At 61.7% G+C, this 22,465-nt stretch overlaps 1 protein-coding gene across 19 annotated transcripts in view, besides 5 other annotated features; it reads left to right on the plus strand.

Annotated features, from left to right (window-relative positions):
* ADGRB1 (adhesion G protein-coupled receptor B1) overlaps positions 1–22,465 on the plus strand; it is a 95,359-nt gene that overhangs the window by 43,545 nt on the left and 29,349 nt on the right. For 17 of the 19 annotated variants that reach the window (XM_017013695.2, XM_047422057.1, XM_017013691.2 and 14 more), the window contains one exon: positions 17,739–17,880. In XM_017013695.2, coding sequence (XP_016869184.1) covers positions 17,739–17,880 — 142 coding nt within the window. Of the gene's footprint in view, positions 1–16,732; positions 16,789–17,504; positions 17,615–17,738; positions 17,881–22,465 lie in introns of those variants that run through there. The other 2 variants (NM_001391987.1, NM_001391988.1) reach the window with 2 other exon arrangements.
* Positions 12,523–13,224: an enhancer, noted in NCBI's record as "H3K4me1 hESC enhancer chr8:143587077-143587778 (GRCh37/hg19 assembly coordinates)". NCBI's record gives its function as "activates a minimal SCP1, AML or CMV promoter by ChIP-STARR-seq in primed H9 embryonic stem cells {active_cell/tissue: H9 hESC(primed)}" and the evidence as "EXISTENCE:reporter gene assay evidence [ECO:0000049][PMID:30033119]".
* Positions 15,693–16,464: an enhancer, noted in NCBI's record as "H3K4me1 hESC enhancer chr8:143590247-143591018 (GRCh37/hg19 assembly coordinates)". NCBI's record gives its function as "activates a minimal SCP1, AML or CMV promoter by ChIP-STARR-seq in primed H9 embryonic stem cells {active_cell/tissue: H9 hESC(primed)}" and the evidence as "EXISTENCE:reporter gene assay evidence [ECO:0000049][PMID:30033119]".
* Positions 16,465–17,234: an enhancer, noted in NCBI's record as "H3K4me1 hESC enhancer chr8:143591019-143591788 (GRCh37/hg19 assembly coordinates)". NCBI's record gives its function as "activates a minimal SCP1, AML or CMV promoter by ChIP-STARR-seq in naive H9 embryonic stem cells {active_cell/tissue: H9 hESC(naive)}" and the evidence as "EXISTENCE:reporter gene assay evidence [ECO:0000049][PMID:30033119]".
* Positions 19,525–20,026: an enhancer, noted in NCBI's record as "H3K4me1 hESC enhancer chr8:143594079-143594580 (GRCh37/hg19 assembly coordinates)". NCBI's record gives its function as "activates a minimal SCP1, AML or CMV promoter by ChIP-STARR-seq in naive H9 embryonic stem cells {active_cell/tissue: H9 hESC(naive)}" and the evidence as "EXISTENCE:reporter gene assay evidence [ECO:0000049][PMID:30033119]".
* Positions 20,027–20,526: an enhancer, noted in NCBI's record as "H3K4me1 hESC enhancer chr8:143594581-143595080 (GRCh37/hg19 assembly coordinates)". NCBI's record gives its function as "activates a minimal SCP1, AML or CMV promoter by ChIP-STARR-seq in naive H9 embryonic stem cells {active_cell/tissue: H9 hESC(naive)}" and the evidence as "EXISTENCE:reporter gene assay evidence [ECO:0000049][PMID:30033119]".

Consider the following 22,465-nt stretch of genomic DNA (forward strand, 5'->3'; position numbering starts at 1 on the left):
CAGGCTGTGAGGGGCCTGTCCAGTGAGCCGGGACAAGGACACTGCCCCAGGGACCCAACTGTGGCCGAAGAGGACATGCTGCGTGGCCTTGGGCAGAGCCTGTGCCCTGGGAGCCTTGGCTTCCTGACCCTATGGCCAGGGTCTGCCTGCTTTTAGGCAGGGGCGGGGGCAGCAGGACGGCGGTCAAGTCCCCAGGGTGTTTGGCGTCCGCGTGGCCTCTGTCGACCCTAAAAGTCACAGGTGTGGGGAAGGCCCAGGACCCGCCAGTCACACCAGGTGTTCCACCCACCCCGTCACCGGCTGGGTGCGCTGAGTGCTAAGGTCTTGGTGCCTGGGTCCAGGACTTCAGGACAGGAGGACAGGAGGCAGGTGCCGGTGTGGCCCACGCAGTGCCTGGCAGCATTGTGCCCAAGTTGCCTCTTGGGTCCTTGACCCTGCCCGGCAGCCAGGCCACGCTGCACACCTGCTGCCTGTGAGGAGCTGAGGCCCTGAGACTCCTACAGTCCCGCTGAAAGCACAGCGCAGTGATCGAGGCCTTCTGCTCTGGAACTGGGCAGCCTGGAGCCCTAGAGGGCGGGCCACGGCTGGCAGGGAAGGACTGGGACTGACCTCGGTCCCCTTCCTTCTGCCCCTCACCTCCCCTCCACTCTGAGTTGGATGGCACCTCCCTTGACTGCTGCAGGGGCCACTCCTCGCCCTGTGAACTGTCTCCGGGGAGCTGAGTTTCCCAGTTGACCTGAAGTGGAGACCACGGGCAGGGGCCCAGGTCTGTTTCCACCAGGGCACCAAGGGACCGGGTCCAAGCTGGTGTGGGCCTGTGTCGGTGTGCACTTGGATGGGAAAGAGTCTCATGCGTCTGGGGAGGGGTTCTGTGTGTGAGGAGCACAGTGGTTTGTGGCGGGAGGGGAGTGAGAGCCATCAGTCACCATCAGCTGAGAAGTAGTGAACTCTTAGAGCTGTAATCATTATTCAGAACTGAACTGGTCACAGATAGAGCCCAGATCCCAAACTCAGACTGAGTTTTTACCCTGTTCACACACTGAGTTCTGATCCTACTCACTCACTGAGCCCTGATCCTGGTCATAGGCTGAGCCCTGATCCTAGTCACATACTAAGCCCTGATCCTGGTCACAGGCTGAGCCCTGGCCCAGTTCATACATTGAGCCCAGATCTTAGCCACACATAGTCCTGACCTTGGTCATACACTGGGCCCTGATCCTGGTCACAGGCTGAGTCCTGCTCTGGTGTCTTAGCTGGAATGACTTGTGTGTGTCACATGCTTGTAGGGCCACCTCCTCTTCCAGCCACATACAGCAACTGACCATGTGACCCACTCAGCCTAGAAAGACTTACAGGCTTCCACTGCAATGCAAGTCACCTGCCTGCCTCACCCCGGTTGTGCAGACACACTTGCACCCATGGGCTCAACACTCAAGCCCATGATGTCTGCTCATGCTCTGTAAACCCTGAGCCCTAAGAGCACCTGGTGTCCCTGCACCCCAGCAACTAGATCCGTAACCAAACCCCAACCTCCCAGGCCCAAACACCCTGGGTCATCCAGTCCTGAACGCTGGCCTGGCAGCATGGCTCAGGTGCTCCTGCTCCCCCACACCCCTGCACCAGCCTGGCTTGTAGTGCTGAGGGCCTGGGGAATGGGGATGCTAGGGAGGAAAATGGGGAGCAAAGCGGGGGGTGGGGGTTGCAGAGTTCTCATATGTTTCAAGCCATAGACACTGCCCCTACCGTAGCCCATCCCTGTATAGTTCCTTGACCACAGGTGTCTCTACTGGAGTGGGGTGGAGGGCGGGGACAGTGGCAGTTATGTCAAAGTCATGTCTGTATCCCTAGAATTGAGCCCTGACCCAGTGAGAATCAACAGTGGTTTATGAGCAAGGCAGTGATTACGTGGCTGAATGCAGAAATGGATGTGCGAAGGGGTTCTTGGTAGGCAGTGTGGACAAGCGGGGGTGTGGATAATCTGTGGGAGCCGGCTGTTTGCCAGAGGGATGCACCCAGGGTGCAGCTGTGGGTTGCTGGGGGATGGGGAGGCAGCGGAAGAACAGTCTCATGGCTGGGTGAGTGACCAGTGATGGCTGGCATGGGAAAGGGTGGGTGGGCGGACTGTGGATGACAGCATGCATGGAAGGCTAGAGACAGGGGTGGATGGATGGGTGACTGAGAGAAGGAAAGAAGATGGAAGGTGTCTGGAAGGATAGAGATTCAGTTTCCCAGGGCTGCCCTAACAAACTGCCAAAATTACCACAAACCAGGTGGTTTAAAACAACAGATATCTATTATCTCCCAGTTCTGGAGGCCAGAATCTTGAAATCAAAGTGTTAGTAGGGCCATGCTCCTTCCAAAGGCTCTAGGAAAGATTCCTTCCTTGCCTCTTCCAGCTTCTGGTGGCTCTAGGAAATCCTTGGTGTTCCTTGGCTTGTGGCGGCGTCACTCCAGTCTCTGCTGCTGTCTTTTCCTGGCCTTCTGTCTTGTGTATCTCTGTACTTTCCTCTTCTTGTAAGGACCCCAATAATGGATCTGTGCCCCCCCGCCAAACCCAGTGTGGTATCAGTCAAGATCCATAACTCAATTACATCTACAAAAACCATGTTTCCAAATAAAATCATATTCGTAGGTTCTGGGGGTTAGGACTTGGACATATATTGGGGAGAAGTGGATGATGGATGGATGGATGAGTAGATGGGTGGGTGGATGAGTGCATGAGTGGGTGGGCGGGTGGGTGGATGGATAGGTGGGTGGGTGGATGGGTGGATGGATACGTGGGTGGCTGGATGGATGTGTAAATGGTAGATAGATGGATGAGTGAATAGGTGAATGGGTGGATGGATAGGTGGGTGTGTGAATGACTGGATGTGTGGATAGAGGTATGGATGGATGGGTGGGTGGCTGGCTGGATGTATAGATGGTAGATGGGTGGACGGGTGAATAGGTGTGTGGGTGGGTGGGTGGATGGGTGCGTGAATGACTGAATGTGTGGATGGAGGTATGGGTGGATGGATAGATGGGTGGCTGGCTGGATGTAGAGATGGTAGATGGGTGGATGGGTGAATAGATGGGTGGGTAGATGGGTGTGTGGGTGGCTGGATGTGCAGATGGAGGTATGGATGGGTGGGTGGCTGGCTGGATGTGTAGATGGATAGATGGGTGAATAGGTGGGTGGATAGGTGTGTGGGTGACTGGATGTGTGAATGGAGGTATGGACGGCTGGGTGGGTGGCTGGATACATGAGTGGATGAGTGAATGATGGGTGGAGAAAAGGATGGGCTGGTGGGTGACAGGAAGTTGATGGAGGCCAGTAGCACACATTGGGAGTTAGGTTCTGTGGTCCTGAAAGGACAGCTCCCTGGGTGTTTTACACGTAAGAGTTGCAAATATCTTTCAGTCTTTTAAAACTGCTTTAAAAAATGTAAATAACCCAGAGTTTACCGAGTATAAAAGTCAGAGCTAGCAAGATCCTGAAAGATCATGCACTCTGTCTTTACTCGAAGCGTGGTTCAGTGGAGTCCCAGAGCGGGGATGTTAGTACAAGCCGGGCCACAGACCTGAAGCCCTTACCATGCTACCCTAGCGTTTATGGGGTGTTCTGCCAGAAGCCAGCCCATCCTCATGGCTTTAGGAAGGGCAGCGTTCCGTGTGCTCCCAAGTCCGTATTGACCATAATGACCTGAGAAGTCCTGCAGGAGACTCCTGTCCAACTGGGCTGGGAGTTTCCCAACTTTGCTGGCTCTCAGAACCCTTATTCTGCCAGACATGGTCCCCTCCTGGTAGGCGTGTGTGGAAGGAGGACGTGTGAGAGGCACATTTGCTGGACTCCTTTCCTGAAGCTCAGCCTCAGGCCAGGCACCATGAGAGCTGCCTCACTCAGTGCACACAGGCTGTCTCAGCTCACACGTCTTTATTAACCGATTTTACAGCTGAGGAGACTGAGGCCCAGAGTGCTCACTGGCAGATCCAGGGCCACCTCATGGTTGTTCCCATCTGGCCTGTGCGGGCCTCCAGCCCTGCCTCCTGTGGGGCCCCTGTCAGGTTCAGCTGTCCTGGCTCGGGACCCAGACCCTGGTCCCTCCCTGGGACCCCTGCCCAAGCGAGCATCCTGGTCCCTTTAAGAGCCTCTCCCTCACCCACCCCTTTCCTGGTTTCCTTGGAGAGGGCAGTGAGGGGGCAGGCCAAGGGGGGGGAAGCGGAAGGAAGACTTGGCAGGGTCCCCGGGTCGCTGTCAGCAGCCGGTTCCCAGCTCAGTCTCTCCCACGCCGGCCGGTTCCTGATGGGGGCAGAGGAGGCTGGGGGAGGGGTGCAGGGGGAGGGGACGCACCCAACACAGAGGCCTCTTTGGTGGCCTGGGAAGAGCCTCAGTATCTGCACCATGATTGAGGAGGGAGGAGGAGGATGAGCCTCTCCCAGCTTGGGTGGGGCCTCGGGGACAGGGGAGAGGTGGAGTGCTGCTCTCAAAGATGAGCCCACCCTGGCCTAGCTTCTGCCCCTGCAGCAGCTTGGGCCTGGCACCAGCCCCTTCCCGGGTACCCCTTTCTCTGAATGTCCTCTTGGTTGGTCCTTGGGTAGGGGCAGCAGGGGCTGGCAGAGGCCTGTGTGGGCCTGTTCTTTCTGGGCGCAGGGTCCTTGCCCATGCAGGGGCTCGTGGCAGCTTTCAGAGCTGGAGGGAATGGACCAGGTCGTAAGGTCACGGCTGCGGGCAAGCCCCCATGGCCTGAACTTCGAGTGGGCTAGCCTCCTCCCAGTCCAGGACAGACCCTTGGGCCTGCCCAAGGTCTCTGCATCTGGGAATGGACCCAGCTCTTCTGCCTGGCCCAGGGGCCTCTCAGCTGCCCTTACCCAGGCCCTCTTACTCCCCCACAGGGCCTGCTTGGGAACTCTGGGACCCCATCTGTCCCTGCCCAGTGCCCTCTTCTCCACGTGCTCCAGGCTGTCTCTGCCCACTGCCCTGCCCCCCTACCCCTGTCTCTTTCTTCCTGGCAGCGGCTCCGATCTGCAGTGAATCCTTGGATCCGTGTGTGTTCGATCCACCCTACCCCAGCAGAGCAGAAGCCCCCGAGGGCAGGGCCTGGATCTCTGCCATGGCTCCAGGCACACAGCACCCCTCAGGAGGAGTTTGTTCAGGGAGTCTGAGTGTGCCCCGTGTTAACAGGGTCACTCCCTCTCTGGAGCTGGGGGCTTCCACATTCATTGGCTCACACACTCAGGCTGCCCAGGACGCAGCTGTGAGTTGCCCCGGGTGCCTGCTTGGGCCTCTGTGTCCTGAGGGCTGGGGGCGTGCAAGTCTTATAGTTGGGGCTGGCAGCCAGGGCAGCCCCTCCCTCAAGCACAGAATTCGTAGATCTGGCCACACTGGCTGTGCGCGCCCAGGCCTCAGTTTCCTTAACTGTGCAATGGGACAGGAGATGAGGGACCACTATATTGAGAGTCTGTGCCCTCCTCCCAGTCCAGGGAGCTTCCTGGGCAACTGGAGACCACCAGCCACCAGCAAGGGCCCAGGGCCGCTGCACCTCCCCTGCCTACCACTCCCCGCACACCTCCCGCCTGCCCACCCCTCCCCTGCCCACACTACCCCTCCTGCCTCCATTCTTTTTCTTCTATAGAAAGTCTGCCAGATGCATGGCCTGTGACAGCCCCCATGTGGCATAGCTGGGAGGGGCTTCGGCAGTGGAGGAGGGGACAGGTGGGCATAACAGACCCGCTAGTCTGCCTGCCAGACCTCTGTGCCACTGCCTCCCCGGGGCCCCAGCCTCTCTCTCCCTCTCTTGGGAGCTTGGCTGTGGCTCCCAGGCCTGCCCCAACCACAGGCTGCTAGGCCTTTGCTCACCCCTTTCCTGGTGGGCAGTGCTATCCATCCCCCACCAACCCCAGCTGTGCCAAGTGGGGGAGCCCGTGGGCTGCGAATGCCCACTCCAGGCAGGCCCCTCACTGGCACCCACACACAGGGTAGCTTGGCAGTTGGGAGGGGCAGAGCTCCAGCCCTGTTCCTCACTGGCGGGGAGGCTGTGGGTGACTTTCTCCAGCCCCGGCCCTGTTCCTCACTGGCAGGGTGGTTATGGGTGACTTCCCCCTCCTCTAGTCTTGGCTCCCGTGTCTTTAAAGCCAGGCTGCTGTGAGTATTACGGAACGAGAGTTGGGCTGCTCAGCAGGTGGGCACCGTCCTACCCTCCAAGTCCAGGACGGCTTCTGAGAGGATGGCAGGCAGCCGCTCAAAAGAGCGCCACCCTTGGGGGCCGGAGACTTGGGGTACGGCCACCCGCGTGCTGGGATTCGGGGCCAGTTCTGGGAGTGGGCTTCCTAGAGGAAGGGAGGGAGCATGCACCGGCTATGAAGAGGGAGCTGGAGTCCACGCCAGGCCCCAGGCGCCTCAAAGGCCCAGAGGCGGAGTGCCGCGGTGGGAGCGCTGCCTGCGAGGTGTCTGTGAGAGGTGGGGTTGGGAGCGGCTGGGGTGGGTGGGGCTGCTCAGGCCCTGGGCCTCCGGGGGCCCCTTGCCTGCGTCCCCATGCCGCCTTTTAGAAGCAGACAGGGTGAGCTCTCTGGCCCTGAAGGTGAGCAGAGATGGAATAGCTGGGGGTAGCGGGGGCGTGCAAGGAGAGGGCCGCCACTTCCTGGGTGCCTGCTCGGTGCCGGGCCTTCTGCCAGGAGCTTGGAAGAGCCAGACAGGCCCAGACCTGGACCAGAAGCTGGCACTCAGAATGGGGTCACAGCAGGCTTATGGGTTGGGCCCAAGTGGAGCGACCCCTCAATGCCCACCCGGTTCCTTTGCACCCAGATGGCCCTGGCAGCCATCTCAGCCGGCCCTAGTCCTGGAGCCCTGCCTGTAGGGCTGGCTCCTGGGCCATGTCTGAGCCTCCCTCAGCACGGACAGGTCTGCGACTGGGGCCCCCAGGGCTTCTCACGTTCCTCACAATGCAAGACGCCAGTCCCATGGCTGCCGTCCGGCGCTGCCTGGGATCGGGGCAGGCAGGCTGGACATTTGTGTTTCGCCCCCGCCCCACACCGCTCCTCCACTTCCCCCCGCGCCGCTCCTCCACCTCCCCACGCGCCGCTCCTCCACCTCCCCACGCGCCGCTCCTCCACCTCCCCACGCGCCGCTCCTCCACCTCCCCACGCGCCGCTCCTCCCCCGCCCCCCGCGCCGCTCCTCCCCCGCCCCCCGCGCCTTTCCTCCCCTGCCCCCCGCGCCGCTCCTCCCCCGCCCCCTACACCGCTCCTCCACCACCCCCCCATGCCCTCCTCCACCTTGGGAGCTCCTCTCAGTCATGCCTCGTGGGGGCGAGGGCATGTGGAGGGGCGGCTGCAGGGGTCCAGGCCACGGGGATGGGCCTGGAAGGCCGTGAGCCTCTTCCGCTCAGCACCCGTGTCCCTGTCCCCAGGAGCACAATGGCTCATTTAAGGCAGCAGAAAAGGCTTCATCAAAGCCCCACCTTCCCAGGCCCCTCAGTGTTACCCTGAGGTCAGAGAGGGAGGGTGGTGACTGACTGACTGTTCTGAAGGATGTGGGAAGGCAGGATATGAGGTAGACAAAGGGAAGGACTTCCACGTGAGCAAGGAGGGCAGAGTGGCCCTGAGTGTCCATTCTCTGACCTTGCCCTTGGTGCACAGGTGCCTGGAAGCAGGGGGATGGTGGAACAATCTGGAGGTCACCAGAGATGACTGCAGGGAGTGGGGTCAGCCTGGAGATCCCTGGAGGGCAGGGGTGTCAGGTGTGACAGGCAGTGGTGATGGCGTGGATGCCCTGTTGCTGGTGATGGTGGTGGCCGTCCCTCCTGCCAGCCTGGTTCTGCTTGCACTGCGCCTTGGACATGGTGAGCACGGGATAAACACTTGTTGTCGAATGCTGGTGACTGTTACCAGGCTAGTGTCAGTTCCAGGGACAGTGACGGAGCTGGTTCTGATGAGGCGATGGCAGTGTTGGAGACGAGAATGATGATGTGCTTATAGTGGAGGTGACGCTGGTGACCATGGGTGACCGGTGGTCATTGTGATGACTGTGAAGGGACAGTAAAGGTGACGGTTGTGGTGACAGTGGTGGTAATGACTGTGCTGTTAATGGCAGTGGTGGTGGTGGTGGTGATGATGGAGGTGATGGTAGTGATGCAGTCATCACTGTGGTTTTGATGATGACGGTGGTGGTGGTGGTCGTGGTCATAGTGATGGTGGTGGTAGTGATGGTTGTGTGGTTTTGATGATGGAGGTGGGGTGGTGGTGGTGATGATGGGGTGGTGGTAGTGATGTTTGTGTGGTTTTGACGATGGAGGTGGGGTGGTGGTGGTGATGATGGGGTGGTGGTAGTGATGTTTGTGTGGTTTTGACGATGGAGGTGGGGTGGTGGTGGTGATGGTGATGTGGTGGTGGTGGTGATGGTGGTGGCGGTGATGGCGATGGTGGGGTGGTGGTAGTGATGACTGTGTGGTTTTGACGATGGAGGTGGGGTGGTGGTGGTGATGATGGGGTGGTGGTAGTGATGTTTGTGTGGTTTTGACGATGGAGGTGGGGTGGTGGTGGTGATGGTGAGGGTGATGTGGTGGTGGTGATGGTGGTGGCGGTGATGGCAATGGTGGGGTGGTGGTAGGGATGGCTGTGTGGTTTTGATGATGGAGGTGGGGTGGTGGTGGTGATGATGGGGTGGTGGTATTGATGTTTGTGTGGTTTTGACGATGGAGGTGGGGTGGTGGTGGTGATGGTGAGGGTGATGTGGTGGTGATGGTGGTGGCGGTGATGGCGATGGCGGGGTGGTGGTAGTGATGGCTGTGTGGTTTTGATGATGGAGGTAGGGTGGTGGTGGTGATGATGGGATGGTGATAGTGATGGTTGTGTGGTTTTGATGACAGTGGTGGTGGTGATGGTGGTCGGGGTGGGGGTGATGATGGGGTTGTGGTAGTAATGGTTGCGTGATTTTGATGACGGAGGTGAGGTGGTGGGGGTGATTATGGAGTGGTGGTGGTGATGATGGGGTGGTGGTAGTAATGGTTGCGTGGTTTTGATGATGACAGTGGAGGTGGTGGTGGTGGTGATGGTGATAGTGGTGATGGTGATGGTGGTGGTGCTGGTGGTGATGATGGGGTGGCGGTAATGATTGTGTGGTTTTGATTATGACAGTGGTGATGGTGATGGTGGGGTAGTGATGGTGATGGTGGTGGTGATGGGGAGGTGGTAGTAATGGTTGCGTGGTTTTGATGATGACAGTGGTGGTGATGGTGGTGGTGGTGGTGGTGATGGTGGTGGTGGTGGTAGTGGTGGTGATGATGGGGTGGTGCAGTCATCACTGTGGTTTTGATGATGACAGTGGTGATGATGGGGTGGCGTTAGTGATGGTTGTGTGGTTTTGAGGATGGAGGCAGAGGTGGTGGTGGTGGTGGTGATAGGATGGTGGTTCAGTCATCACTGTGGTTTTGATGATGGGGTGGTGGCTGTAGTGAAGATGGGGACGGTGACGGTGGTGATGGTGGTGATGGTGATGGTGGTAGTAAGGGTCGCATTGTTGGTAGTGTATGGTTTTGGTGCTGATGATGGGGTTGGTAGTGGTGGTGGTTGTGATATAGTGGCAGAAAGAGTGGTATTTATGATGTTGATGGTGTCATGGATGGTGGTGAAGGTGTGGTAGCAATGGTTGTGTTGTTGATGATGACAGAGTGGGTGTTGCTGCTGTTGGTGGTAGTGACAGTACTGTTGATGGCATGATGCTGATGGTCGTGTCTTGAGGTGATGATTGTGGTGTGATGAAGGCGGATGGTATTGTTGGTAGTGGTGGTGAGACCTGGTGGTAATGATGGTGTTGATAACACATGGAGGGGGTGGTGGCGATGGTGACAGTGGTGGTCCTGGTTGTATTGTAGATGGTGTTGATAGTGATTGGCCTCAGTGGTAGCTATGAGGGTGGAGGCTGTGGTGACAAGTGGTGGTGGTGGTAGGCCCAGCTCTTAGGTGAATTTGCAGCCCAAGCCCCCTGAGGGAAGCGAGACCCCCCATGACACAGTTAAGGAACCAGAGCCCAGCAGCCATGCAGATGGCAGGCCAGGTGGGTGAGGAAATGGCGGGAGAGCCAAGGGAGCGCTTCCGAGGTCATGGCGGTCTGGGAGGAGATGAGGCTGGGCTGGCTGTAATGGGGGGAAGGTTTGGGATCTGCTAGAGCCAGGGCAGAGCTCGTGGGGGTGCCCAGTGCCCAGTACAGGGCCTGGCACAGGCCAGGCCAGGGAGGCACCTGCTGAGTGAGTGAGAGACTGTGCTGGCCCTTTGACCTTGCCACTGGGTACCAATGGCTGGAGCGTAAAAGGGTGTGAGGTCTGGGCAGTGGCCCCCTGCCAGCAGGGGTAGGTGACAGGCCAGGCAGAGCAGGGCTGCAGGTGCAGCAGGTGCGGGTCTGCATGAGGCAAGACGGCTCGGGCAGGCTTCTGAGTGCCAGCCTCCTGCTGGGGAGGGGCAGCAGGTGCGGGTCTGCAGGACCCCAGCCCTCCTGCTCCAGGTCACTTCTCTGCCAGGCTGGGCAGCCAGCACCCTGCCCTCTTCAGGAGCTCCATTCTGCCTGGCAGACAGCCTGGGGCCTCTGTGCCTCTGCCCAGGTGGATAAGTAGGTCAGGAGAAGAGCTGCTGGACCCTGGGGAGGGCTGGGTTTCCAGCCCAGGGGTATCCCATGGCCAGGAGCCCTGACTCAGTGTGGCGGCGCCAGGTGGGAGCCAGGAGATTGGCATCTTGCATCGTGAGGAACATGAGAAGCCCTGGAGGCCCTGGATGTGGACCTGTCGGTGCTGAGGGAGGCTCAGACATGGGCAGCTCTGGGAGAAGCCCAGGAGCCAGCCTCATAGACAGGGCACCAAGCCTGAGCAGGCTCCAGCGTCATCTGGCAAGCTGGGTTCAGTAAGACCCAGGTCAGGCAGGTGTTCAAATGCCAAGGTCGATGGGTCACAGCGACCAGGATCTCCTCAGGACCCCAGGTAATTGCCCCCAGGCCCTGAGCTTGGAGGGGCTAGAGCTGACCCAGGCCTGCCCTGGAGAGCCTCACAGACTGGCAGCCAGACAGGGGCTGGGCATGGAGTGGGAGTCAAGGAGGCTTCTTAGGGGAGGCAGTGGCTCCAGGAGCCCTGGAGGGGGAGGCTAATCACACAGGATGCGGGGCCTGTGGCCAGGGGACCAGCCAGGACCAGGGCCTGGAGGCAGCAGAGGGCGTGTGTTTGCTGGGTTACCTGCTGGGCTGGCCTGTGCAGGCAGGGCCACCAGGGGCAGGCCCACCAGAGGCAGGGCCACCAGGGCCAAGGGAGGCCCCTCTGGGATGGTCGCGGGGGGCTCTGGCTGCTGGGTGAGGCAGAACACAGGGAGGGGAGCCCAGCACAGCGGTGGGGAAGGGTCTGGCTGAGGGTCAGGAGCAATGCCCAGGAGCTCATGGAAGGGCAGGGGGGAAGTCTGGTTATCCAGGTAGACTTCCTGGAGGAGGACACAATGCCAGTCTTGATCTATGGCCAAGAAGTCAATGGGCAGAGGTGGGAGCCAGGCACTCCTGATGGATGAAGCATGACTAAGGGGCTTGTACCTAGGGGTGATCGAGCCGCGTGTTGGTTTAAGGGGCACTGGGGAGGCCAGCCCATTAAGGCTCCTGAGGCCAGGCCTAGAAGCCGAAGCCTCTGCCTGCAGAGACACCATTTCCACTCCCTGCCTAGCGCCTGAACTCCCCCACTGCGGTGTGCTGTGCCCACTCCTGGCTTCTTTCTGTTATGTGGGAGGACACCCTGTGAGTCATTCACACTAGAGTGTGAATTAGCCCATCAAATCCAAGGGGACCCCGACAGCGCACAGTCCCATAATAGCACCTGCTTCGTGGGCCGGCAGGAGGCATCGTGAATGCAGTGAAGGCTCTGGCTTGGTGGGTGGGTGGGTGGGTGGGCTCTTAGAGCGCCCTCCCCGTCACTGTCCCCTTGTGTCCCATGAATGAGTAGGCCCTGTGCGGGCACTGTGCCTCTGCCATCCCATGGACAGGTGCGGGGTGAGGATCTGGGCACATTTCACAGGAGGAAGCTGAGCTCCGAGGGTGAGAATAGAGCTGGCTGCTGGACCCCCTGCCGGGCTGGACAAGCATCGTCTAGGCGCTTGCCGGGGGTGCAGGGCAGGGGCCCCAAGAGCACAGGAGCCACAGTGGGCTCTCCCAAGGCCTCCTACCTGCCCCGGACTCAGTGGAGGTGCCTGTGGGGGCTGCCCGAGCAGGGCTGGGCCCAGGTCCTTCCCCATAGCCAGCTGGGGAGGCCTTCTCTGAGCTGCCCTCCCCTGGGAGATGGGGACAAGGTTGTGGCCCTGCACTGGGGCTGAGGGCGACGTGAGGTGGGGATCCACACTGGGTTGGGAGCTGTCTGGGAGCTGCGGCCATTGCTGGGTTTGGAGGGGTCTGCTGGGAGCCGTGGTTACTGACGGGACTGTGGCAGAGGAGAGAGTTGGGAGGTTGGGTGAGGGAGGTTGGGGCCAGTCCCTGCGGGCCCTGGGAGCACTGTGGCCTTTGCTCTGAGTGAAGAGGGAACCGCTGGAGGGCTCTAAGCTGAGGGCCATGCGGCCTGACATATTTCAAATGACTGGTGCCCTGGGAAGCCAGGCGAAGGAGGGCAAGGGGCGGCGGCCACAGTAGCCAGGGGCACGGGTGGTGGCTGTGGAGGGTGGGCACTGTGGGGCTCTCCATGCATTTTCAGATAAAGGCTGGTGGGATTAGCTGGTGGGCAGCTGCAGGGAGGTGGGGGAGGTGAAGCGGGGACCCAAGGCTCCGGGTGAGCGATGGCAGGCTGGCCGTGCCCTCCCCATTCATTCACGCGCAGGCGTCCTGGCTGTGCGCCCTACCTTAGTGGCGCCTGTGGGCGCCTGTGGGACTGTCATGCACCAGAATGTGTCCCTGGGGCCACATGTGTGAGCAGCGTGCTGACTGAGCACCTGGGCGACCCCGAGGTGGAGTAAACAGAACCAGAACTTGTCCCTTGGGTTTCTTGGCACGGAGGTCCTTGGCGACCTTGGCAGGAGCCGAGTGGGAGGAGTCCCAATGGTGGCGGTCACTGGTGGTCTGCAGAGGGGTGGGCAGTGGCTGGACCTGTCATGGGGCCCTATCTAAGGGGAAAGGCACAGCCCTGCCCTGGGATTCCTGTCTGAGGGTCCCAGGTCGCTCTAGGTCCCCACTCCTCTTGGGCAGGAAGGGGACCTGCTGTAGCAAGGCCCCTGCTCAGCTGGTCCTGGGTGGTGTCACTGCCCCAGCTCCTGCTCTCACCCTGGACACATGGGGGTGGGGAGCAGGTGTAACTGACCCAGATTCCTCAGGCCTGGGCTCAGGAGGGGACCTCGCTCTGTGACCCAGATATTCCAAGTTTCTGTAGCTGACGAGAGGTGGCAAATGGTCTCCCACGTGCGGGAGCAGTCGCTGTGTGCGAGGAGGGAATGACTTGCCTGTTTGCAGAGATGGGAACAGGTGCCCCCTGCAGCAGGAAGGATTTCAGTCAGACTTTCGGGGGAACTTCCAGATGTTGTAAGTCAGGATCTGGTACAAGAGGATGCGTCCCAGAGATTTTGTTGAAAGAGGGAGGTCTGAGGCTTTGCCACCTTGCCTAAGTCGACATGCATCCAAGATGCACACAAGGGCCTCAGTTCAGGGCCCAGCCCTCCATCTGTCCTGCTAAAGGCCAGTCCTTGACTGAGGTCTAGTGCAGCAAGGGAGGCTCGGGTAACTCCCAGGAAACCTGCATTGGCTGAGTTTATTTCCTGGCTCAGGATGGGTCTCAGGTTGCCCCTGACGGTCCCTTGCAGACCTGCATTTCAGTCAAGGTTCAGATGTTGCAGGCCCTGGGTGGGAGGGGGCAGGCAGCCAGACACATAAAAACTGGATTCCAGGCCCACTGCTGTCTTGCTGTGTGAACTTGGACAATCGCTGCTTCCCTGAGCCTTGGTTTCTTTATTTACAAAGCTGACCTAAGGGTTCCTGCAGAAATCAAATGATAAACTGCCAGAAAGCCCTTAGCACAGAGTAGAAGCCATTATCGTGGAGGTGCAGGGAAGGGTGAGGAGAAGGGTCCCTGTCCCTGGGCTGTGTGTTGGGAGGCTGTTCCCCTGACACATGCTGCCAAGGCCTGTGGAGCCAGGAGGACGGAGGAGGTAGAGAGGCTGAGGAGGGCACCTGCACTGCAGGCCTGCAGGGTCCCAGTGAACCCCACCCCAGGATCCAGGCCCTTACAGAATGGCCGGGAGCTTCCTGCTTCCAGAGCTGCCAGCCTGACCAGCTAGCTCTCTGGACCAGGGGCAGGTGCCTCCTTGGGCCTTCCATGGCCTGACCCTCAGCAGAGTAGGCAGCAGCCCGTCTCTCTCCCTGCCCCCAGAGGCCGATAAACGACTCAGCACCCACAGCAGGAGCCCTGGGGGCCGGGTGCTGGCTCCCAGGCTGGCCTTCTCCCAGGCAGTGGTGGACAGCTGTCGGCCTGGCGCCCTGCAGACTGGCCAGTGCGGCTGGGAACCAGCCAGGCTGCTGGCCCCAGCCAGCCCGGCTCCCTGCACCCTCGAAGTGCTCCCAGCAACCCTCAGGCAGTTGAGCAGAGGGCTGAGGTTGTGCTGTGCCTGGCCTGGGTTGTGCTGTGCCTGGCCCTTGAGAAGCAGAGCTGTGACTGGAAACCCAGTATCAGCTGCACAGGGAAAAGCGGTCTGCAGGACTCTTCCTGGGGTGCCCTCTGGCCTGTACTGTGCTGGCCATCTTGGTGTCTGGTCAAAGGCTGGCAGGCATAGACCACAACCGCACACCCATCCCCAGGCACGGGGATGGGCCCTCTCGGTGGGAGATGGAGGCTCAGGGAGGCAGCGATTATCCAACGTCACATAGCAAGACAGCGGTGGGCCTGGATTCCAGTTTTTATGTGTCTGGCTGCATGCCCCCTCCCACCCGGGGCCTACAGCTGAACCTTGACTTGAACTGCAGGTCTGCAAGGGACTGTCAGAGATAACCTGAGACCCATCCCAAGCCAGGAAATAAACTCAGCCAATGCAGGTTTCCTGGGAGTTACCTGAGCCTCCCTTGCTGCACAGCCACCAGCCAGGGCTTAGCGGCTCTGTGCCTGGGGTGGGTCTCAGGTCCCTGCTCCACCTGTTCCTCTCCAGCATGGGGACAGTGGCTTCTGCCCTGGAGGGTGTAGGGGATGGACACAGGTGGTGAGTGGGATGTTCCTTGTGCACCTGAATGAGACCTTGGAAAACCCTCTGGCCAGGATGTAGGATCTGGGGTGTCATTTGGAGCACCAGGACTTTCCAGGGACCCCACGCTCCCTTTCCTGTTCTGTCCATAGCCCCAAAGCCTGCCTGGGTCCAGGATTCTATTCTGTGGTTATCAGGATCTGCACTCTGCTCAGGGAGAGGGTGGAAGGGTCTCTCTGCCCCAGGTCTATGACTTTTCGGCCATCCTGTGTTGCGGACGCAGAACAGCCTGGGTCCCTGGCCGCCATCGCAGTGGCTGGGTAAGTGTGGAGGATGGCTGCCCTTTGGAGCCTGCGAAGGTCACGTGGGCTGAGGCCCCTGGCACAGACAGAGGCATCCTCTGAGCCTGACCGTGCTGCAGGGCCCTTCCAGGCTCCCACGTGCCTCTGTGGCTTCCTTTTACGGAGGATGCTGGAGATGGGTGAGCCTCATGCTTCTAAACCCTGGCCCGTGAAACAGGATCCTGGCCTCACACCGCACTTGAGAGGGGAGGGGGCTTCCCAGGGTCACAGAGCCCAGAGCCAGCCCTGCAGAACCTCAGGCCGGCTCCCGGGCCTCCTCTCAGCTCTGCCTTGTCTGTGATCTCCGCCACAGTTTTCCTTCTCTGTAAAACAGGAGCAGGTCCTTCCCCTAGGAGGCGGAGAAGATGCAAGAGATAAAAGCAGATGCTAAGGGCATTCTCACGGGTCTCCCCCGCCAGCCAGCGGCTCACAGCATGTCCCTTCTCCCCTGGGCCCGAATCTCAGGAAGTGCTGCTGCTGAGGGAGATTGAGCAACATCCCCAATTCAATAGAGGCTGCTCTGGGCTATCAGACATGGGCACTGGTGACCCATGCTTGCTCTGAGCCCGGCCCTGTGCCGCTCAGCGCTGTCCAGAGTGGAGTGGGTGCTTCCCTCTGGACACCCCCACCCCCATTTTAAAGATGAGGAGACTGAAGCAAGAGGTGGTATAGGTAACTTCCCAAGGTCACATAGCTAGGATAGGACACAGCCGAGGCACAAAGTCAGGTGTCTGATCAGAGGCGGCTTTTCGTGTGGGGTCAGGGCTGCGTGTGGGGGTGGCTCTCCAGGCTCCTCTGGGGATAGCAGGCTGGAGAGAGCGCCAGCCACAGGGCACCGGGGCAGGTCCCTTCTGACTCCTAGCCTCAGCCCCCGTTGGTACAGTGGGGACCGGATGGAAGAGGTGAGCTGAAGACTCTGCAAGGCACCTTGCCGCACTCGTTCCTGGGTGGGGAATGGGGTAAAACTGCAGCATGGAGGCTCTAGGGCAGACCATAGGAAGACCCTCGACTTGGGCTTTTCTCCTGAAGTCCGGGGGCAGGGGCTGTGTCCCGGCTACTTAGGGAGGAATGAGGCCTTTTCAGCCGTGGGTTCAGAAGGAGACCAGCAGCTGGGGCTCCTGCAGCTGCAGAGCTGCACCCACAAGCTCTTGGGGCTCATCTTTTCAGGAGGCCTGGAGTCCCTCCTCCACCAGGCAGGCCCAGGACCTTGGGTGGGGCTGGGGACTCAGCCTCAGAGAGGGCCTCCTGGGCAGTTTCTGCAAGCCAAGCCCCAGCAGGCAGGAAGGCAGGCCCGGCTCCAGGGCCAGGTCTGTGAAGGAGGGACACGGTGGCTTCCGGACAGGAGGGCTGCCTTGAAGGGTGGGGGAATTCGGCTCCAAAGCAGGAGGAGGAGGAAGAGGAGGCGGAGGAGGAAGAGGAGGAGGTGGAGGAGGAAGAACAGGAGGAGGAGGTTGGGGGTGGAGAGGAGGAGGAGGGGTTTGCAGAGCAGGTCAGTCCCTGGTGCACCAAGTAACAAGTCCTGTGCTTAAATGCGTGCTCAGATGAAAAGCGGGGCAGTCGCGGCCCGTAGACAGCGGGCGGCTGGGTCAGACCGCAGAGGGAAGTTTCCAGCGGCAAGCCTCCCCGCGGGGAAGGCTGTGTCTGTCCCAGGAGATGAGCCGCAGGCACCAGGGGTGATGAGGCCCGGGGGAGGTGGATGTGGGGGATGGAGCGGTCCCAAGGTCGTCAGCTCCAGCCGGCGCCCTGGGCCGCGGGGCCGGAGAGCTCCGGAGCGGACCCTCGCCGCGCTCCGAACCCGCCCCGCGCCCCCAGGCCACACCCGGCTCGCACCCTCCCCGCTCCACGTGCGCCCACGCGCCCCTCCGGGCCTCCCCCTCCTTCCCGCGCGGGCCGGGGGCGCGGGCCCCGGAGGAGCTGGGGGCGGCGGGGGCGCGGGGCGGGCGACTGCCGGGCCCCGGGCCAGCTCTCGCCCCCCGCCCCGCCCCCGATCGCTCGGCTCCCCCGCCCGGCGCTCCCTCGGGCTGCGCTCCGCGGCTCTCGGCGGCGGCGGCGGCGGGCGCAGAGCGCGGCATGGGCGCCCGGGCCGCGGGGCCTGGCGGCGGCGGGCGGACGGGCGCGCGGCTGCGGGCGCAGGTGCGGGGCGGCGGGCCGGGGCCGGGGCCGGGGCGCGGAGCCGCCGCTCGGGGGCCGGGGCGCCCGCGTCCCCGCCGCCGCTGACGCTCCGCCTGTCTCCCTCCCGTGTCCCGCCCGCCCCCAGACCCTCCTCCTCCGCCCCCCCGCAGCTCGGGCCCTGGTCGTGGCGCGGCTGCCGCACGGTGCCCCTCGACGCCCTCCGGACGCGCTGCCTCTGTGACCGGCTCTCCACCTTCGCCATCTTAGCCCAGCTCAGCGCCGACGCGGTGAGACCCCGGCCGGGCCGGCGGGAGGGGCGCCGGGCAGGGGCGCGGGCGGGGGCTGCCGGCGGGCCTGCGGGTGGGGAGGGCCCGCACCCGTCCTGTCCCGGAGGGGTCGCTGTGGCCCGCAGCCGCCGTGGCCTGGCCCGGCCGGCGGGGTCCATGCGCCTCTGGAGAGGGTGGGTGGGCGCCGAGCGGGTGGCAGTGTGGAGTTGGAGACGGGCCTGGGAGGAGTCGGGACCCCCGGAAAGTGGCTGATGGGTGGGTCCCATCTCCCCTGGCCTTGGAGGCCCGGGATCTCCGAGGGAGCCTGGGCCTGGGGAGAGGCTGGGTCCTGAGCCGGGGGCTGGGAGGCGTCGCCTGTGGAGGGGCTACCCTTTCCCTTGGTCCTCTCCGCCTGCCAGGGAGAGGGAGGAGGAGGAGCTGCCGCCTTGGCAGAGCCCTTCGACCCACCCCAAGTAGAGCCTGGTCCGTGGAGGAGGAGGTGGCGGTGGCCCCAGGCAGGGGCCCTGGCCCAGATCCACCGCCCCCCAGGCCTCAGCACCTCGGGGCTTCCTTTTTGTTCCTGTGATTCCTGTGGGGGCTGCCGGTTTCTATGGAGACGGCATCTGGGGTCAGCCGCTGGCAGGGGCCCTGGGTGCTGGGCGCAGCTCCCTGGGGCGGGTGGGCTCTCTTGCTTTGGGCCGGCCAAGCTGCACCCCCTGGCCTGAGGTGGGCCACAGCCCTCTACTGGGGCCCAGGCCGAGGCCCAGGACAGCCCACAGAGCAGGAAAGGGCCTTGGGCGTGTGCTCACCAAGTAACCTCCGCCCAGACCTCGTGTGGAAGCCTGGGAGGCAGCAGGGGTGGAGGATGCACTTGGAGGGGACCTGTCCTTCCTGGGTGTTGGAGGTGGCATTGCTGGCCCTTGGGGAACCCCGGGTTCGATGTAGAAGGTAGCGCCTAGCCTCTCGGACACTCCAGCCTCCTGGCTGTGTTCTCTGGAAAAGTGGGGGGCAGGTGATGTTGGCAGCTGGGGTCTCCCACAGTGCCAGAGCCGGATGGGACCCTCCAGGCCATTGCCAGTAAAATCCTCTGTTGACAGGCAGGGAGACTGAGGCCCAGAGAGAGGGCCTTGCTCAAGGTCTTGGGTGAGTCTGGGCTGGACAGGGGTCTGTGTCCCTGACCATAGTGCACCCCTGCTTGGGCTGTCCCCTCAGGTGAGACTGTTGATGCTGCTGGTTCTGCAGACAGAGCCTGGCAGGCAGCAGTCTGAAGGGCCATCTCGGAGGCTCCCTGGAAGAGGTGGCCTTCTGTGTAGGAGGACATAGACATTATGGCTTTCACTGGGCAGCCTTTCTGGGCCCCTTCGAAGCTGGACCAGGCAAGGCAGGGCCCAGCCTCCAGTCTCCGGGTGCTGCTCTTCCTGTGGGTGTTCGAGGAGGACCTGGGCAGGAGAGAACCTGCTATGGTGTGTGCCCCATCTGCCCCTTCTCCCAGCCCGGTGTCAGGCCTGCAGCAGGTCAGTGTTGGAGTCTGGAAACACAGGCTTGTCTCTGACGAACTGTGACCCTGGACTGGCTCTGCCTTAAGTCCCTCTGAGCCTCAGTTTCCTCACCTGTAAAAGGGAGGGGACCTGGACTACCCAGGACTGGCTGTGAGGAGGGAAACAGATGACTCGGAGAGAGTCCCAGGAACGGGGCAGTCCCCAGGCGGTGGCATACCAGCCAGTCACCAGGCTGACCTCCAGAGTGGGCCTGGCTTAGGGAACTTGTTCAGAGAGGGGCAGGTACATGGGCTGAAGGGGGTGCCCCTGAAATTCCAGCAGCAGGGGCCTTGATGCTGAGGGGCCTTTCCAGGAGGAGACCCACTATGTGCCCCAGTGCACGAGGGGGAGGAAGCGGCTGCTCTGTGGGACAGCAGCGGGGGGCGGGGGTGGAGGCAGCCAGATACACAGTCCTGGGCCTTCTTTGGCAGGCGGTTCGTGGCTGCTGTCGGGGGGCGCTTCTAGTGTTAGCCCAGCCCACGCACACTGGTGTTCACAGGGCAGGATGCCAGCAGGCATGTTGGGTGCCCTGTCCCCCATCCCAGACAGGACATTTGAGGCCGGGGCACAGGGGCTGGCAGTGTCTGCAGAGCCACGGGACCGAGGGCGGGCTGCCTGGACCCTGGGAGCCTCAGTGTCCTCATCTGTGAGATGGGAGGGCGGTTGGCTCTGCCGCAAGGGCAGACCATGTGTGGCTCAGTTTGGGCTCTGGGCACCAGCAGGGGTGTGAGCTGACAGTCAGAGTGCCAGGAAGAAGCCAGGGTGGTTACAGCCTCTGGCAGGTGCTCCCTGGCACCAGAGCCCCTTGGGGCCTTCCTGTCCTTTCCACACCACCTCTTCCTCCTCAGCAAGGGCTGGCCCCCTTGATGCTGGGCAGGGAGAGGCCAAGAGTGAAAGGGAGACTGCTCTCTGGGTGCAGCCTGCCCCTGGCAGGTTCCTTTGTCCACCGTGCCGATCCCTCTGAGGGCTGTGGGCTGGGGTGCCAGGGCTGATGCGGGAGGCAGATGTGTGCACACAGAGGTCTGCAGCCGCCCAGGTGGAAAGGAGGAAGGCTGCGGGTGGGCTCTGGGTGCATGGCCACAGCCTTCTCCCCTCCTGAGTGTGGTGTGGGGAGAAGTGCACGGGGCTGAGGCTTGAAGTGGGGTCCTGAGGGGTGTGCAGGAGTTTACCAGCCGAGCATTGTGGGGTGAGTAGCAGCCATTGCAGAGTGAGGAAGGCATGAAGCTGCGGGGAAGTGGGCACAGGCGTGGGCTCAGCAGGCAGGAGAGGCAGAGAGACTGGTGGCCCGCAAGGCCTGGGGGGCTGCGGGGAGCCCGAGCTTACTCCAGGGGCGTGAGGAGCCGGCTACAGAATGGACTGGTGGGAGGCTGGGAGGTAAGAGGAGAGCAGTCAGGCCTGGGTACCCAGGGGTCCCAGCAGGAGTGAGGAGCGTGAGCCCAGCTGGCAGTTGGGGAGGCGGCCAGAAGTGAGCCTGGCTGGGCAGGGAGAGAGAGGGGTGCTGCCTAGCTTAGCCTGGCTGGGGTTGGATGGACACGTTGGGTGTGGGGACTCTGGTCTGAGTGGGCAGAGGCTGTGGCTTCGGGGGTTCAGAGTGGCCTACAGGGGCTGCTGACCAGGACAGGGGCCTGAGATGGTGGTAGAGGCGGGTACGTGGGCACCCCGGGAGCCAGGGTGGGATGAGATCCGGGCAGGGTGGTAGAGCGAGGGGAGGTGAGACCCACGAGTCCTCCTCTAGAGCTGGCCTGGAGCCAGGGTGTCGGCGCAGATGCGGGCTGCGCAGATGCCGGCTCTGCGGCTGCAGCAGGCCTACGACGGCCGGAAGGTTGAGTAACCGCTCTGAGTCACACCTGTGAGGCGGATGATGCCACCTGTCTCAGAGTGGTGGGGACTGAACTAGGTGATATATTTATGGCACTTGACATAGTCTGGCGTGTAGTAAACAGTCTGAAAAGGACAGTTGTTGTTGGCATGACTTCTGTGATGTGCCTCAGACTGTATTGGAAGGTTGTGACCAGGGTCACAGTTCATTTGCAACCAGGTTTGGGGCTCAGTGTATGACCAGGGTTAGGTTCAGGGGTGTGATCATGGTCAGGGTTCAGCACGTGACCAGAATCAGGGCCCAGTGTGTGCCCAAGATCAAGACTCACAGCCTGACTGGGATCAAGGCTCAGAATATACTTGGGTCAGGGTTTAGTGTGTGGCTGGATTCAGGGGACAGGGTGTGATGGGAATTGGGGCTCGGGGTATAATCTGGGTCAGGGGTCAGAGTATGATGGGGGTTCAGGGCTTAGTCTATGACTAGAGACAGAAATTAGTTTTGTGGGCATTTGGGAGCCATAGACGGTGTTGGGGCAGTGGCAGGACGAAGGTGGTACTGTGGGTAGAAATGAGTCCTTAGGGGGCAAAGGGTGGATATAGGGTTCAGGAGAAGATTGGGAGTGGGAGTTCATGTGGTGGAAACTGGCAGAGACTCGGTCACCAGCCAGGAGAAGCCATTGGTGGGAGGGGGCCGGCTGGTTCAGACCTAGTATGCAGGGAGGGCCTCCGAGAATTGGTGACTTCTGTGCTGGGAGGAGAGCCCGGCGCCTGAAGGTCAGGGAAGGCGTGCAGGGCAGGGGGCCTGGCATGTGCAAGGGCCTGGGCCGCGCTGTGCCTGGCTTGAGCCAGTCTCCGGCAGGGGCCCGGCCTGGCTCTGCCTCCCCTCGGCGTGAGTTGAGGCCGGTCTTGGTCTACCCCTCCTAGTGAGGCCTGCCCAGGCCACCGCCCATCCCTTCTTCATCGCCTGGAACCTGCTGAGCAACGGCCGTCGGGAGTGACTGATGAGCCAGGCGGGGAGGAGAGGGATCAGGTGGACCAGTGGGAGAGCTGGCGGGTTTGCGGCTGCCAGGCCTAACGAGGGCAGGCGGAAGCAGATGGCCACAGAGGCCTGGGCCTGAGCCAGCCTCAGAGCAGGCGCGAGACGCTTACTCGGCCGCCTGTGACCTTTGTGGCCAGCCGGCCTCAGGCCAGCCCAGTGTCTTGGAAACATTTACTGGGGTCACCCTGTCTCCCACCTGTCCCTGTCCAGC

This window comes from Homo sapiens, chromosome 8, assembly GCF_000001405.40.
Source record: "Homo sapiens chromosome 8, GRCh38.p14 Primary Assembly".
Taxonomy (NCBI): Eukaryota; Metazoa; Chordata; class Mammalia; order Primates; family Hominidae; genus Homo; species Homo sapiens.